Source organism: Homo sapiens, chromosome 16 (assembly GCF_000001405.40).
Source record: "Homo sapiens chromosome 16, GRCh38.p14 Primary Assembly".
Taxonomy (NCBI): domain Eukaryota; kingdom Metazoa; phylum Chordata; class Mammalia; order Primates; family Hominidae; genus Homo; species Homo sapiens.
Window position 1 is genome coordinate 78,099,276 of NC_000016.10, and position 16,503 is coordinate 78,115,778.

Genomic DNA, 16,503 nt, shown 5'->3' on the forward strand with positions numbered 1-16,503 from the left:
GGCGCCGCTTTTTAGTCGGGCGCCGCTTTTTGGTCAGGCGCCACCTGGACTACATTTCCCATATCCAATTGCCGGGCTCCTGCAGGATTGGCCAGAACAACGCGGAAGTGATTACGGGTCGCCCAGCAACGGGCGGAGTCCTGGCCCGAAACTGGATGCGCACGCCCCTTCCCTGCGGCGGGGAGGCTGACAAGGCTCCGCTCTATCTCTAGCGCCTCGGAGCGCTCTCCGGCTTTGCTGTCTAGCCCGGCGGCAGCGCGATCTCTTAGGCACTTTCACCGCCTTCCTCTCCAGGCCCTGCCCCTTTGACGCCGGCCGTCGCGATATTGCGGAGACTGGATTTCAGCTTCGTGGTCGGCGGAGCGGCCCCTGGAGGGCGCAGTGCGCAGGCGTGAGCGGTCGGGCCCCGACGCGCGCGGGTCTCGTTTGGAGCGGGAGTGAGTTCCTGAGCGAGTGGACCCGGCAGCGGGCGATAGGGGGGCCAGGTGCCTCCACAGTCAGCCATGGCAGCGCTGCGCTACGCGGGGCTGGACGACACGGACAGTGAGGACGAGCTGCCTCCGGGCTGGGAGGAGAGAACCACCAAGGACGGCTGGGTTTACTACGCCAAGTAAGGGGGCCGCAGTGGGGCCGCGGACGCACCTGGGACCCTGCACAGCCCACGGACGCCACCTGCGCGGGGAGGACGCGCACTCCAGCGCAGCGCGTGCGGTGCAAAGTGAAAGTAACTGTTAAGGAGCTTCAGGGAAAAGGGTCCAGGGTTCCCAGTAGGGGCCGGCCCCCTTGGTGGGCCTCGGGTCCAGCGGGGGTCACCTGGTGGCTTCCCGGCGCGCCCTCTGCTGTTCAGGATGCAGCACTGCGCGGCGCGGCGAGGGCAAAGCGGCCTCATCCCCGCCAAAAAATAAAGATGTTTTAAAAAGCGCACATGCTCAGCTCCCTCCTGCAGGCTCTGGGTTGCAGGGATAGGAGTTTTGTTGTGTTTTGTTTTGTTTTGTCCAGACCGGTATTGCTCAGTCATCCAGGCTGGAGTGCAGGGGTGCCATCATAGCCCACTGTAGCCTCTACCTACTGGGTTCAGACAATCCTCTCATCTCAGCCTCTTGAGTGGCTGGGACTACAAGCGTGCACTACTATGCCCGACTAATTTTTTAAGTATTTGTAGAGACTAGGGTCGCACCATGTTGCCCAGGCTGGTCTCGAACTACTGGGCTCAAGCAGGCCACCTGCCTCAGCCTCCAGAATTGAGATTACAGGCGTGAGCCACTGCGCCTAGCCAGGAGTATTTTTTAGTAGCAGTCCTAGATAGCTTCACTATCATTTCCTGGGAAAGTTTTGGAAACCCCAGCAGAGCCTTCATCTTTAACTGTGTGACCTTGGGCCATTGAAATAACGTTTAATCTTGGTTTTTTCACCTGTAAAATGGGTTGATACGAGGGTCAGTTCAGGCACTGTGCGTAAAGCACATAGCACCGTGTCTAGTAGGTACTCTCTGTTCCTTAACTGTCGTTCCTTGATTGCTCTTAAGATACGACAGTGCCTCTTATATCGGCACCTTAGAATCACCTAGGAAATGTCCTAAATACACGTTTTGGGTCTCCATAGAGAACCTACTGTAGCCGACTCTCAACTTTGGGAGTCTCTTTTTTTAAGCTTTCCAGGTGAGGTGGAATATCACCTGGTTTTGAGAAACATGGATGTAAATCTGATTTTCAGCATCTGGGAAACTTTTTTTGTAAGAGCCTTTTTCTGGGCCCCACTTCCAGAGGGTTTTTCTTTTTTTTTTTTCTTTTGAGACGGAGTCTTGCTCTGTCGCCCAGGCTGGAGTGCAGCGGCGCGATCTCGGCTCACTGCAGCCTCCGCCTCCCGGGTTCACGCCATTCTCCTGCCTCAGCCTCCCGAGTAGCTGGGACTACAGGCGCCCGCCACCACGCCCGGCTAAGTTTTTGTGTTTTTAGTAGAGACGGGGTTTCACCGTGTTAGCCAGGATGGTCTCGATCTCCTGACCTCGTGATCCTCCCGCCTCGGCCTCTCAAAGTGCTGGGATTACAGGCGTGAGCTACCGCTCCCGGCCTTTTTTTTTTTTTTTTTAAAGACAGGGTCTCGCTCCGTCGCCCAAACTGGAGTGCCGTGGTGCGATCTCGGTTCACTGCAACCTCTGCATGCCGAGTTCAAGCGATTCTCGTGTCTCAGCCTCCCGAATAGCTGGGATTACAGGCGCCCGCCACCAGGCCTGGCTAATTTCGCGCTGTTGGCCCGGCTGGTCTCCAACTCCTGGCCTCAAGTGATCCGCCCACCTCGGCCCCCCAAAGTGTTGGCATTACAGACAGGAGCCACTGCGTCAGCCCAGAATTTCTGATTTAATTGGTTTGGCCCCTCCCCTCTCCCTTGGTAGGTTGTAAAATCTTCCCTCCCAGGTGATTCTAATCTATGCAAGGATGTGAACCACTGCTGCCTTTGGTGGCAAGGTAGAGGAAAAACAACCAAGTTCTGATGAGTTCATTCAAGACACACACAGGTATTATGTGACAGGCCTTTGGCTGGCACTGGTTATACCGAGGCAAATAAGAGCCAGTTGTCATCCTTAGGACCCAATCTTATTAGGGCACAGTGACATGTGTAGGAGCGTCCCCACGCAGTGTGTATACCAGGAAGTAGTGTGTCTGGCATGAGGTGTGTGTAGGTAGTTGGGGGGGTCGTGAGGGAATATGGTGGCACCCTCACAGTAACCTTCACTTCCTGGGCTCAAGCGATCCTCCCGCATCAGCCTGTTGAGTACCCGGGACCACAGGTGTGTGCCTCCACACCCAGCTAATTATTACATGTTTTGTAGAAATGGGGTCTCACCATGTTGCCCAGGCTGGTTTGAACTCCTGAACTCAAGCCAGCCTCCCTCCCGAAGCACTGGAATCACAGGCCTGAGGCACTGTGCCAAGCCCAGAGCGGTGTTTTGAGCTCAAGTAGAGGTGGGTGGGGCAGGAGGGCAGTCTAGGTAGAGGGAACAGTGAGAGGAGAGACCCCCTGCATGGCCTGTCCAGGGGCCTGTGATCTTTGTGAGGGTCCAGGAATGTGAAGGTTAAGGCAGGGAAGGGAGGACCCATTTCAAGGATTTCTGTGCCTTGCCGAGAAGCTTGGGCTCTGTTGGCAGAGCCAGAGAGTGGCATTCATTCAGCTTGTGAATTCTGGAAGAATTTCTGGCTCTGGAGAATTAAAGGGACATTTCCAGCAGCAGAGCTCCAGTAGCCTTTGCAGGGACGGAGGCAAGCTCCTGAGCGGGCACTTGCTGTTCCTCTCACCTGTACATCTGTTGGGGAAAGGCTCCTTCTCATCCTTCAGAGCTGAGCTTACATGTCACTGCCCAAGAGACCTTCTTAACTGTGGGTGTCCCCTCGACCTTGTACTAGTCACCTTGTTTCTCTGCTTCTTCGTGCTTAGCCTTGGCTGTGTACTCCTCCTTGTTGGCCCTGTCTCCCTTGCCCAGGTTGCAGATGTCATGGGGCAGCTTGTTCATCTGAGTGTCCCCAGTGCTTGGCACCCAGAAGCCATAAGATGAGCCCCTGTGGGATGAGTAAATGAATCACCTTGGGAGGGTCAGCCGCAGGCTTCTGTGGGTGGGTGGGTGGTGCACTGGGCCCCAGAGTACAAAGATGCACATGACCCGCTTCCGGCTTCCTAAGCCCACCTCTGCCTCTGGCTCTGTGGGGCGTCTCCTCCTTTGCCACTCAGCCCCAGAGGTGCTTCTGCTTCCCTGCAGGCTTGCCCTGGAGCCTGGCGCTAGGGCCCTGGGGCTCCCTTGCTCCTGCGTGCCCCCTGCGCCTGCCTTCCTGCTGCCTGGCCTTTCTCCCATCTGCTTTCTTCCTGAGTGGCCCCTGGCCAGGGGACTCGGGTGCATACATGGTTTCCAAACGCCTTTCCTCCAGCCCTCCCGACTAGTGTCTTAAATCTCAAGCTGGCCTCTCTGGCTCCGCTGTTTTTTTTTTTTTTTTTTTTTTAATTTAATTTAACTTTAAATTCCGGGATACATGTGCAGGATGTGCAGGTTTGTTACATAAGTAAACCTGTGCCATGGTGACTTGCTGCACTTGTCAACCCATCACCTAGTTGTTCAGCCCCCCGTGCATTAGCTATTTATTGTATACACCAGCTGAGATGCCAGGGCTTGGCTGGCTCTCAGCTGGAGGGCTCACTCTCTGGACCTTGTGTCCGTCCCTGCTGGCCCTCAGTTCTCTGGATCAGGGTTGAAAGGCTGAAATTCTTTGGGTGTTAGCTTAGGATGCCTCTGATCCATCCTAACCCGACATTCCCTTGATCTCTCCTGATCTGTGAGCATCCTGGCCCTTCTTTTCTTTTCAGTTTTAATTTTTGCGCTGGCTCCAACCCCTTTTCATTCCTGACTCTGGAAGTGACACTTGTTTTTCTCTTGGGGTTTGGGAAACTTTGTGGTTGTTCTTTCTAGGAGGCTGCTCTTTGAGTCATTTCTTTTCCATATTGTTTCTCCTACTGTAGCAGGGCCATGGCCAGGGATAGAGGCTGTAGCTCCCACTGAGACCTCGGGGTCTGGTGGAACCCGGTCTTGTGTGGGTGCTGTCGGCCTCTCCTGCTTTCCCACCTGCCTCACGGTTCACTTGTGTGCCTCAAAGGCACACATGTCCTAGCACTCCAAAGCCCACCAGGGTGGGCTCCCAGGGGTGAGGTCGAGGTAGACCGGGAACCCAAGAGAGCTGGTGGGCCTTTCTTCTACCCCTCTCCCCTCACAGTCTCAGAGCAGCCCCTTCATGGGAGATGGGAAGTGAGGGACAAGGTCTCAGTGTCAGAGCCGTCCTTGTTTGCCCTTCCCCGTGCCTCTTATGAAGCTCAGGCCTTTTGGCAGTCAGAGGCCTCAATGGTGCCTGTGTCCACAGGGCTGGCTGTCCTCACCGTGAAGTCTAGATCTCCCTGCTAACTTACACTGTGCTCAAAACACACACACACACACACACACACACACACACACACACACTGGCTGTCCTCACTGTCAACTCTAGATCTCCCTGCTAACTTACACTGTGCTCAAAAAACACACGCACGCACGCACGCATGCACGCACATACACACACACACACACACCCATAGGCTGGCCATGGTGGGAGGCCAAGGTGGGAGGATCGCCTGAGCCCAGGAGCTCGAGGCTGCAGTGGGCTATGATTGCATCACTGTACTCTAGCCTGGGCCACAGAATGAGACCTTGTCTAAAAAAAAATTAACAGAAAACACCCCATACGTGGAAGTGTGGTATTCACATAATATGATGTTCACTTAAATTTGAATCCTTTGGTTTAAGTTTAGATTACTCTTAATTATCTTTTTAAATGACAAGCTCGTTGAAAGAATAAAAAATCAAAGACGGCTTCTATTTAAAGGAGAATAGGAGAATGCTTAGGGGACATGTGTTCTAATTTTCTCTTCATTAAAAAGTCATTTAAGGTTATAATTAAAAAGAACATCTTTTAATTAATTTTTATATTTATTAAAAAAAAGTCTTCTATTGAAAGGTACAGTTCTTAGTTCTTCCCGTGTTAACTCACTCGGTTCTCTATAACCCCAAGAAGTAAGTGCTGTTATTGTCCCCATCTAAACTGTTGAGGAAACTGAGGCATGGGATTAAATGACTTCTTCAAGGGCAGAGTGGCTGGCAAATGGGAGACCCAGAAAACCTTGGCAGTTGGGCTTCAGAATCTTCACGACCAAATTACTCTCTCTGCTTCAGCTGGTTCCGGATTCTTCCCCAGGGATGGTTGTGTCCTGCAGGGGACGGCTGGCAATGTCTGGAGATGCTTTCTGTTGCCACAGCTATGGGACTGGGGTATTGGCATCTGATGGGCAGAGGCCAGTGGTGCCCAAGGCAGCCCCGCAACAAAGAATGATGCAGGCCGGGTGCAGTGGTTCACGCCTGTAATCCCAGCACTTTGGGAGGCCGAGGCAGGTGGATCAGTTGAGGTCAGGAGTTCGAGACCTGCCTGGCCAACATGGTGAAACCCCATCTCTACTAAAAATACAAAAATTATCCCGGCATGGTGGCAGGTGCCTGTAATCCTAGCTACTCAGGCTGAGGCGGGAGAATTGCTTGAACCTGGGAGGCAGAGGTTGCAGTGAGCTGAGATTGCACCACTGTACTGCAGCCTGGGTGACAGAGTGAGACTCTGTCTCAAAAAAAAAAAAAAGAATGATCCAGCCCCAAGTGCCACCAGCAGTGAGAATAAGAAACCCTGATTCAGGCATGTTCTGTGAAAGTCAAGAACGTAGGTTGACAGAGTTTGTTTTGTTTTTTAAATGTCTTTCTGAATAAATAAAAACTGTTCTGAGTGAGTTTTGTAGTTCCTTTGGAAAGTATTCATTCTGTTTGTTTACATTTGTGCGCCTGCTGTGGGCCAGGCATGAGGCTACATGTCTGAGGGCCCAGCTTCACCTTCTAAGGGCTGGGAGGCTCTTTCTATGCCAGCCTGCCTGCCAACAAGGCTCAGCTTCCACTGTTAAGGGTCATTTTGTGGATTTTTTTATTTTTTATTTTTAGGTTGAGTCTTGCTTTTTCGCCCAGGCTGGACTGCAGTGGCGTGATTTTGGCTCACTGCAACCTCCACCTCCCAGGTTCAGGAAATTCTCATGCCTCAGCCACTCAAGTAGCTGGGATTACAGGCATGTGCCACCATGTCTGTCTAATTTTTGTATTTTTAGTAGAGATGGGGTTTTGCCATGTTGCCTAGGCTGGTCTCGATCTCCTGGGCTCTAGCGATCCTCCCGCCTCGGCCTCCCAAAGTGCTGGGATTACAGGCGTGAGCCACCGTACCCCGCCACTCCATGGATTCTTGAGGGCAGAGTTTTTTGGAGCCAGGCTTCAAGCACATTTGATGTGTGCCTATGAGATAAAGACTGCTTTTAATGGCAGGCAAGGAAAATGCAAGTCCATCTCTTAACTTTCTTGAAGAAGCTTGAGACACAGCTCTGCAAGGGGCTGGAAGGTTTCATGTTATTGCCAATGCTTGGTTTATCTGATTGCTGTTGCCATTCATTTTGAAGGAGAAGCAGGAGTTGGTATACCAATATTCCCACTGTGCCAGCAGAGAGCGGGTTATCCTTACTAGAGAGCCAGAGAGTCAGAACGGTTTTTTTTTGTTTTTTTTTTTTTTTTTTGAGATGGAGTTTCACAATTGTTGCCCAGGCTGGAGTGCACGATCTCAGCTCACCGCAGCCTCTGCCTGCCGGGTTGAAGCAATTCTCCTGCCTCAGCTTCCCGAGTAGCTGGGATTACAGGCATGTGCCACCACGCCAGGCTAATTTTGTATTTTTAGTAGAGACAGGGTTTCTCCATGTTGTTCAGGCTGGTCGCGAACTCCTGACCTCAGGTAATCCGCCTGCCTTGCCCTCCTGAAGTACTGGGATTACAGACATGAGCCACCGCGCCCGGCCACAGAGCTGCTTTTTTTTGCAAGTGATATTGGATGGTGGTTGATGTACAAAGTAGGAGTTTGTCCTTGCTACTGATACCGTAGCTGGTACAAGGTTTTAATCGTTCTCCAAGCACTGTCACAGGTGTCATGTGTCTCGCCTTTTCAGCAGCTCTGTGAGGTGGCAGTAGCCCTGAGGAGACTGGCTGGACTCAGCTAGCATGGGCTGCTCAGGTCTTCAGCGTGCTGAGTGAGGCATTCCTGCACTATGACAGAGACCCAGCTGCCAAGACTTTGTCAAACAGACCAGAAGCCAGCAGTTCATGAAAAGACCTTGCTTGCAAGTTGTAGAATTTTTTAGAAAATTCGTGCTCTCTGTATTTATTTTCTGTAAAATAATTGATAGGGAAAGAATGTTCACATCTTATCATCTAGATGTTGCTGATTAAATAATATAACTTTCTGGGTTGGCATGAGTAGGTGAACTTTTAGGAAACGCAGCCTACCCTTCGAATACCTCTTGTAGCACCTGGCTGTTTCCCTTTTGAAATAATTGTATGTTTTCCTGGATACCTTATTACCTGGTGACACGTGTTTCTAGTTATTGACCTATGTTTTTAATTATAACTTTGGGTGGTGGTCTGAAATGAAATGTTAAGTTTGACGCAAAAATAGGACTAGTTTGTGTAACTGATTTGTTCAGAATAACAGCTTACATTTCTCAGAGCTTTTTGTATGCCAAGTGCTATGCGAAACCCTGGATGTACAATATTCTTATAGTAGCCCCTGAGACCAGTGCTAGGATTATTTCCATTTTGCAGATGAGGGGATGGAGATTAAGGAGTGGGGTCACTTGACCAAAGGTGCACAGCGCACAGCTAGATGCCCTATGGGAAGGTCTTACTGCATCTCTTAACTACCTCTTGGGACCAGTTAGGAACCAGTGCTTAATGAAACACTTTGAAGTTACATCTGTGGAAAGAATAAACATTTTAGCTGGGCAAGGTGGCACGGGCTTCTAGTCCCAGCCACTCAAGAGGCTGAAATAGGAGGGTTACTTGAGTCCAGGAGTTCCAGTCCAGCCTGGGCAACATAGTGAGACCCTGATTCTTTAAAAAGAAACACAAATAAATAAACATTTTAAGAGATTATATAAATTAGATATTATGAATTTTGTCCCTACATCGTGGAATAAAACCAAAACAAATACACAGCAAAATGCCTCTAGATTTATTTATTTATTTATTTATTTTTGAGACAGAGTCTTGCTCTGTCGCCAGGCTGGAGTGCAGCGGCGTGATCTCGGCTCACTGCAACTTCTGCTTCCCTGGCTCAAGCGATTCTCCTGCCTCAGCCTCCCGAGTAGCTGGGACTACAGGCACGTGCCACTGTCCCCAGCTAATTTTGTATTTTTGGTAGAGACAGGGTTTCACCATGTTGGCCAGGATGGTCTCCATCTCCTGACCTTGTGATCTGCTCCCCTAGGGCTCCCAAAGTGCTGGGATTACAGGTGTGAGCCACCGCTCCCGACGGCCTCTAGATATTTTGAGTGATTCAGCAAACCTCCTAAAGTTGACCCCGTAGCTGGGGTCACAGTCCTCTTTCTCCTTCTTCCCCCTACTTCCTTCTTATATCTGGCTATCTGGGAGAGAAAAAATTTAATACAATTGATTACTTTTTAGAAGAGTTAATTTTTACTTATTACTGTGGATTTTTTGTTTTTTAACAGTCACACCGAGGAGAAGACTCAGTGGGAACATCCAAAAACTGGAAAAAGAAAACGAGTGGCAGGAGGTTTGTATGTTGTTGTCTAAGGATCTTGGATGGAAGCATTAAGTAGATGAGGAAATGTCACTGGCAGAGAGGTGACAGGTTATTGTGTGTTTAGGGAGGGCTCTCTGGTAGAGAACCAGACTCCCACTCTGAGGAGCTTATGGGATTTGGCAGAAGAAGATGATGAGATCATAGGGTGGAGTGAGGATGATTTCTTACTGGTCTTAAAGTACCAAAATGGCCAGATGTGGTGGCTCATGCCTGTAATCCCAGCACTTCGGGAGGCCGAGGCGGATGGATCACCTGAGGTCAGGAGTTTGAGACTAGCCTGGCCAACATGTTGAAAGCGCATCTCTTCTAAAAATACAAAAATTAGCTGGGCATGGTTGCATGCGCCTGTAATTCCAGCTACTTTGGAGGCTGAGGCACGAGAAGTGCTCAAACCCAGGAGCTGGAGGTTGCAGTGAGCCAAGATCACACCACTGCGCTCCAGCCTCGGTGACAGAGTGAGATGCTGTCTGAAAAATAGCGACAACAACAACAACAAAAACCAGAAAATAATTGAGGCCTTTGATTCACAGTTTATGATGTTTTCCTATCGTTGCAGTGTTTATAAAATTGTTCTTGGCTATACTATGGAATTAAATATATAAGTATTTGGAAATTTCGTAAAGATTACCATGACTTCTAGGTGATTCTGAGATAATGTATGATCCACGGAATAGAAGTATAAGAAAGGGACAGGCACGGTGGCTTGTGCTTGTGATCCCAGCCCTTTGGGAGGCAGAGGTGGGAGGATCACTTGTGCCTGGGAATTCGAGGTGAGCCTAGGCAACATAGTGAGACCCCATCTCAAAAAAAAATATGAGAAGGTTCCTGCCCTTAAGAGGTTTAGGATCCAGCTGAAGAATCAACATGTGCACATGAAAAAAAATGGCCGTGCCCTCTAATGTCATATGAGGTCAGCGTATGAATGACGTTGGGTGCCTGCCCTGCATATACATATGTTCTTTGAGCTCATTCAAGGGAGAATTCCCATGGATTGGCACAACCAGTATGGTTTATAGAGCGATCAGGAATAAAATAGGTTTTCTTCAAAACAAGAGGCAAAAATGTGGAGCCCAGGGTGGGATCAGGGGCCTTCTGCAGCTGTCGCAGTTGGAACATGTGACGAAAGCCAGTTGATGTGACAACTGCTGGGTGGGAGGGACAGGCTTGGGGGCGGGGCTGGGAGGGCTCCTTCCCTTCCTGACCCAGGGATGGTCTTTACTTCTCCCTGGCACCTGTAGACCTGTCTTTCTTGTGTTTCAGATTTGCCATACGGATGGGAACAAGAAACTGATGAGAACGGACAAGTGTTTTTTGTTGAGTAAGTGTCTGCAAAGAAACCACTCTCAGCTGTTTTGCTTTTTAATAGGAATTTTTAATTATAAAAGTAATACATAGTAACTGTAGAAAAATACAAAGTATAACAGTGTGTATCTGTAATCTTAGCAGAAGTGACTACTTTTAACATCGCTGGAACTTTTAACATCGCTAGATTTATTCTTCTATTTTCCCCGCACACGCATCCTTAAAAAAAAAAAGTAGGGAGGCCAGGCATGGTGGCTCATGCCTGTAATCCCAGCACTTTGGGAGGTCGAAGTGGGTGGATCCTGAGGTCAAGAGATCGAGACCATTCTGGCCAACATGGTGAAACTCCGTCTCTACTAAAAATATAAAAATGAGCTGGGTGTGGTGGCACGTGCCTGTGGTCCCTGCTACTCGGGAGGGTAAGGCGGGAGAATCACTTGAACCCAGGAGGCGGAAGTTGCAGTGAGCTGAGATCGCGCCACTGCACTCCAGCCTGGGTGACAGAATGAGACTCCTTCTCAAAAAAAAAAAAAAAAAAAAAAGAGGGAATGCACTGTGTGGACTGTTTAGTAACCTGCTTTTTCCATGTAATATATTATGAGCATTTTCTTGTATCCATATCTATTTTTCAAAAAGATGCTATTTAGCAGCTCTAGAGTTATTATTTTGTACAGATATACTATAATTTATCAAATTGCCTATTGGACATTAATGCTAAATTCCTGTTATAGAGAACCTATAATTATAAATAATGTATTGAGCATCCTTATCTGTAAGACTTTTTCACCTCTCTGATTCTGTCTTTAGGATAAATTCCGGTATCACGCAGCAATAGTAACCACCTGTCCAACATATAGCATGAGCCAGGCCTGATTCTAATCATCTTGTATCTGTAGCATTAGGTCATTGGATCCCCACAGTGCCCTGAGAGGTAGTATTGTTATTATCCCTAGCTTACTGCCAGTGACACAGACTTGAGGGGGTAAGTGACTTGTTAAGGATCCCACAGCAAAGAAGTAGCACAGCCAGGCTTTGAGCCCAGCACCTGCTCCAGGGACTGTACTCTTGACCACCGTAGTTAAGAGGAGAATTAATGTTTCACAACTGTCAACATTTAAATTAGAAGCTTGAATAGTCTTTGACAGGATTAGGATTGGTTGGTTAATAGAAGTTGATTTGAGCAGGAATTTTTTTTTTTTTTAAAGTTATGAATGTAACATAAACGTTTCAGTATTTGATTCAAGTACACCAACATTTAGGGGTCGGGCCAGCCCTCCTCTGAGTGTGAGTCCACTTGCATGGATCCAGTGTGGTCTTCCTTCCCCTAAGCATGCCTGTAACATAACATCTACAATTTCTACTTTCATTTTATGTGGGCGAAAGAGTACCTAGGTGCCGAGGCAAGAGACTGAAGGCACAAACTGTTTCAGTATAATAAAGAAAGTAGTTAGAATAAGAATAGTCATAATACAGGTTAGATATGGAGATGATCATGGACAATTATCAATCATTACTATAAACACTATTAATCATTAGCTTTTAATATTACTCTTTGTGGCATTACTAACATAACCTAGGAATAACTGGCATGTATAGGCTCAGGTGCTAAAGGGACATTGTGAGAAGTGACCTAGAAGGCAAGAGGTGAGCCTTCTGTCACACCCGCATAAGGGCTGCTTGAGGGCTCCTTGGTCAAGCGGTAACGCCAGTGTCTGGGAAGACACCCGTTACTTAGCAGACCGCGAAAGGGAGTCTCCTTTCCTTGGAGGAGTCAGGGAACACTCTGCTCCACCAGCTTCTTGTGGAAGGCTGGGTATTATCCAGGCCTGCCCACAGTCATCCGGAGGCCTAAACCCCTCCCTGTGGTGCTGTGTTTCAATGGTCACGTACGTTGTCCGCTTTCATGCTCCTCCCGTACTCCTGGTTCCTCTTTGAAGTACGTAGTAGATAGTGGTAGAAGAAATGGTGAAAGTTTTAAAGTCTTTGATCTTTCTTTTAAGGGCAGAAAAGAAAATGCTGACGTATGCTGCCTTCTCTCTCTGCTTCGGCTACCTAAAAGGGAAGGGCCCTCTATCCTGTAATCACGTGACTTGCTTCACCTTGTCAATCACTTAGAAGATTCACCCTCCTTACCCTGCCCCCTTGTCTTGTATGCGATAAATATCAGCGTGCCCAGCCGTTCGGGGCCACTACCGGTCTCCACATCTTGGTGGTAGTGGCCCCCACCCTGGGCCCAGCTGTTTTCTCCTTATCTCTTTGTCTTGTGTCTTTATTTATTACAATCCCTCGTCTCTGCACACGGGGAGAACACCCGCTAAGCCCAGTAGGGCTGGACCCTACAACTTTAAGGTTGAGCAAACACAGTATTTTCAAAGAATCTGATTGCTACATCATTTGGGAGTTTTATGGTATTTTTCTAGCATTTTCACTGTAGTTGATTGAACCAAAACTTTTTTTTTAGCTGCTTGTCTTTGAGGCTCTCCAAAGCATTCGACCACATTTTCATAGATACCACTGACACTATTTTTCACCTCCCATGTTATCAGTTTGTGTAATAGTAGCTTGCTGGTAATGTAGTTACAGTAACAAGTTCAAATGACATGTGTGTTTTTTGAGCAAACCTGGTGAACTTTTGGTGCAAAACTGATATTGAGAGCAAATAGGCCAAAGCTTGCTTGAGAGAAGTCTCCCAGGCCACCATAGGCAGCCCCAGGAAGACGGGGCTGTCTAGCAGTTGGATAGGTGGGAGTGCCTATTATTTGTTAAAAGGCTTTTTGCCTAACTTGTGAAAGTTTTTTTTCCTCAACTAATTAAGGGTATCAACGCATTGGTTGTATGTTGAAAATGTTGAAAATGTTTTTTTTTTTTTTCCAAGTTTTCTTTCTTTTTTTTTTTTTATACTGGGTCTTGCTCTTCTTATCCAGGGCTGAGGTGCAGTGACACAGTCACAGCTCGCTGCAGCCTCAACCTCCTGGACTCAAGTGATCCTCCTGCCTCAGCCTTCTGAGGAGCTGGGACTACAGGCTCATGCTGCCATGCCCAGCTAATTTTTAAAGACTTTTTTTTTGTAGAGACTGAGGCTCAGTATGTTGCCCAGGCTGGTCTTGAACTTCTGGCCTTCAGCGATCCTCCTGCCTTGACTTCCCAAAGCATTCATATTACAGGCATGAGCGACCACACCTGACTGAATTTCTTAAATTTTTTATGTAGTCAAATCAATTTTCTCCTGTGCAGTCTTTGCCTTTGCATTCACGCTTGGAAAGTTACTCCCTGAAATGGGTATTAATCAACCAAGAGCAGCAGTTCTCAGGCATGGTTCCTGGACCAGCAGCATTAATATCACCTGGGAATTCAATAAAAATGTACATTCCCAGGCCCCCACCCCAGACCTACTGAATCAGCACTGGGGTGGGGCTTGCAATCTGCGCTCTAATAGTCATCCAGGGGATCCTGATGTTCCCTAGCTTGAGAGCCTCCCGTCTAGAGCAGGGGCTGTCTCCTTTGCCTGTAAAGGGCTAGATAATATGTTTTAGGATTTGCAGGGCATATGGTTTCTGTTGCAATGATTCAACTCTGCCTTTGTAGTGCTAAAGCAGCTATACACAATATACAAGTGATGGGCGTTGTTGTGTTCCAATAAAACTTTATTTACAGAAACAGGCAGTGGGCCAGATTTGGCCAGCTCCTGGTCTAATCTAGAGGAGTAAGCAAGGGCTTTGGGGGGAACCTGGAAATTGGCTCCCCTGGCTAGTTCTCACTTTTCTGAGCCTGTTGCAGTGGGGTGCTGGTAAATGTTTAGCACCAGGTCTTCAGGGGGAAAAAAGCCACTGTTTGTTTCCACAGTATAAATACTTTGGCCATAGCTGATTTCATGCTGCCAAGGTGAAGTGAGGAATTGGGAAGAGATAGTCACGTTTGGCTCTTGTAAGCCAGTTTGAGCCAGTCTAGCATAGAACTGCTCTGTTGTGTGTGTATAATATTGGGGTCACAAATTAAGGTTGTTATAAATAGAATGAGGATGAGGATGGTAATAATTAGAATAAAGGTTGGATTATTACTCTTGAGTCTTGGTACTTATAGGGAGATGAGTATATATTTTAAACTAATTTTACACACACATACTTTTAAAATATGAAATTTCATCTATATTTAGAGGCTTCTTAATAGTTTTTAAGATATTCTGAGGTCTTTATCTCATATCCCAAGAATACATTTAAGATATAAAAAGTAAATTCTATTATAAGGAGTACTCTTTTCATCCATATGTGCCTTTTTTTTTTTTTTTTTTTTAATGGTTACCCAGGGTCTTGGTCTGTCACCCAGGCTAGAGTGCAGTGGCACAATCATGGCTCACTGCAGCTTTGATCTCTTAGGCTCACGTGATCATCCTCCTACCTCAGCCTCCCAAGTAGCTGCGACTACAGGCGTGTGCTATCACACTTGAAATTTTGTTTAGTGTTTGTAGAGATGAGGTCTAACTATGTTGCCCAGGCTGGTCTTGAACTCCTGGGCTCAAGTGGTCCTCTTGCCTTGGCCTCCCAAATTGCCGAGATTACAGGCGTGAGCCACTGTGCCCAGCCTCCAGTATATTTTAATACCATTTCTACAAGATTTAGATCAATTCCAAATCAAAATGAGTGCTCGTAGGAGGTATGAGTGCAGAGTCTTAAAATGAAAATCGTTAGAATTTTGGTAGTTGGCAGGTTTCTTATTTACAACTAAGACTTTATCATTTTGAGTTTTCTACTTCTCTACGTCTTTAGGCCCTTGCACAGGGCTAAGAGATTTAATTGAAATCTACTGAAAAGAGTGGCTGACAGATCTTATAGCTACATTTACATGAATTACATAAAAGCCCAAAACCTTCTCAAGAAGCCTTTTTTGAGATCTAAGGATACATGGCAATAGTTATTGTATGTTACAGCGTATGTTATAGGCAGTTCTGAAGGAAAGGATTCGATGACTATCTTTTTTTGGCACAAATGTGATCCTTCTGGAGGCCAGAAGATAGATTCAGTGGGCCCCAGTTCTTTCAGGTTTAAGGAATAAGCATTTTGGTCTATGAAAAATGGGGTTTTCCTAAAGTATAAGATTGTCTTATATTTATAAATGCCTGTGTTCATTGCTGTGGGTTCACTGCTTTCTCTTTTGGGCAGCCATATAAATAAAAGAACCACCTACTTGGACCCAAGACTGGCGTTTACTGTGGATGATAATCCGACCAAGCCAACCACCCGGCAAAGATACGACGGCAGCACCACTGCCATGGAAATTCTCCAGGGCCGGGATTTCACTGGCAAAGTGGTTGTGGTCACTGGAGCTAATTCAGGAATAGGTAGGCTCTTCACTTAGTTATTTATCTTTGGGACTGCTATAATGAGATCCACTTAGATCTAGCTATAATGGAATTTTGTTTAGTGGTTCTCTGATTTAAACATGACTTTTATCCTTTTCAGATATCGTTTCATTAACATCACTACCTCTTTTTAAATCCTAATGTTGTCATGGAAGCCTGTGTAGGGGCTGACCTTGAAGTCTCTGAAAGCTGAACACTCAGCAAAAGACTGTGGCTATTTTGGTATTCAGGGATGAGAGACAACAGGCTCCGTCTAAGAGTTTTTGACCTGGTCTGCATGGTGTATGGGCATATTCCAATTACCTGGGTTATTCAAACCAAAATTGATTGGTAATAGAATACGGGGAACAACAAGGTATTATGTCTTTGGAACAAAGGATACTACAGGTTTCGACTGGTCACTGAGCATATCATTTTCTTTTGGGCACAGGATCTTATTTCTCTATAAAATTGGAGAATGAGTTCCTGTCTTCACCTCTTAATTGCCAATGTTTACCCACAGGGACTATCATGGGTAGATGGCTCAAGAGGGTATCCTTGCTTCAATATGATGGGCCATTAAGGAGACAGGAGCAAGGCGGGAGCAAACCATAACTCTTCATA

At 47.2% G+C, this 16,503-nt stretch overlaps 1 protein-coding gene across 5 annotated transcripts in view, besides 1 other annotated feature; it reads left to right on the forward strand.

Annotated features, from left to right (window-relative positions):
- WWOX (WW domain containing oxidoreductase) overlaps positions 379-16,503 on the forward strand; it is a 1,113,014-nt gene continuing 1,096,889 nt past the window's right edge. For 2 of the 5 annotated variants that reach the window (NM_016373.4, NM_130791.5), the window contains exons 1-4: positions 379-610; positions 9,148-9,212; positions 10,503-10,560; positions 15,701-15,879. In NM_016373.4, coding sequence (NP_057457.1) covers positions 504-610; positions 9,148-9,212; positions 10,503-10,560; positions 15,701-15,879 — 409 coding nt within the window. In that variant the 5' untranslated portion in view covers positions 379-503. Of the gene's footprint in view, positions 925-9,147; positions 9,213-10,502; positions 10,561-15,700; positions 15,880-16,503 lie in introns of those variants that run through there. The other 3 variants (NR_120436.3, NM_001291997.2, NR_120435.2) reach the window with 3 other exon arrangements.
- Positions 613-1,112: an enhancer, noted in NCBI's record as "H3K27ac hESC enhancer chr16:78133785-78134284 (GRCh37/hg19 assembly coordinates)". NCBI's record gives its function as "activates a minimal SCP1, AML or CMV promoter by ChIP-STARR-seq in primed H9 embryonic stem cells {active_cell/tissue: H9 hESC(primed)}" and the evidence as "EXISTENCE:reporter gene assay evidence [ECO:0000049][PMID:30033119]".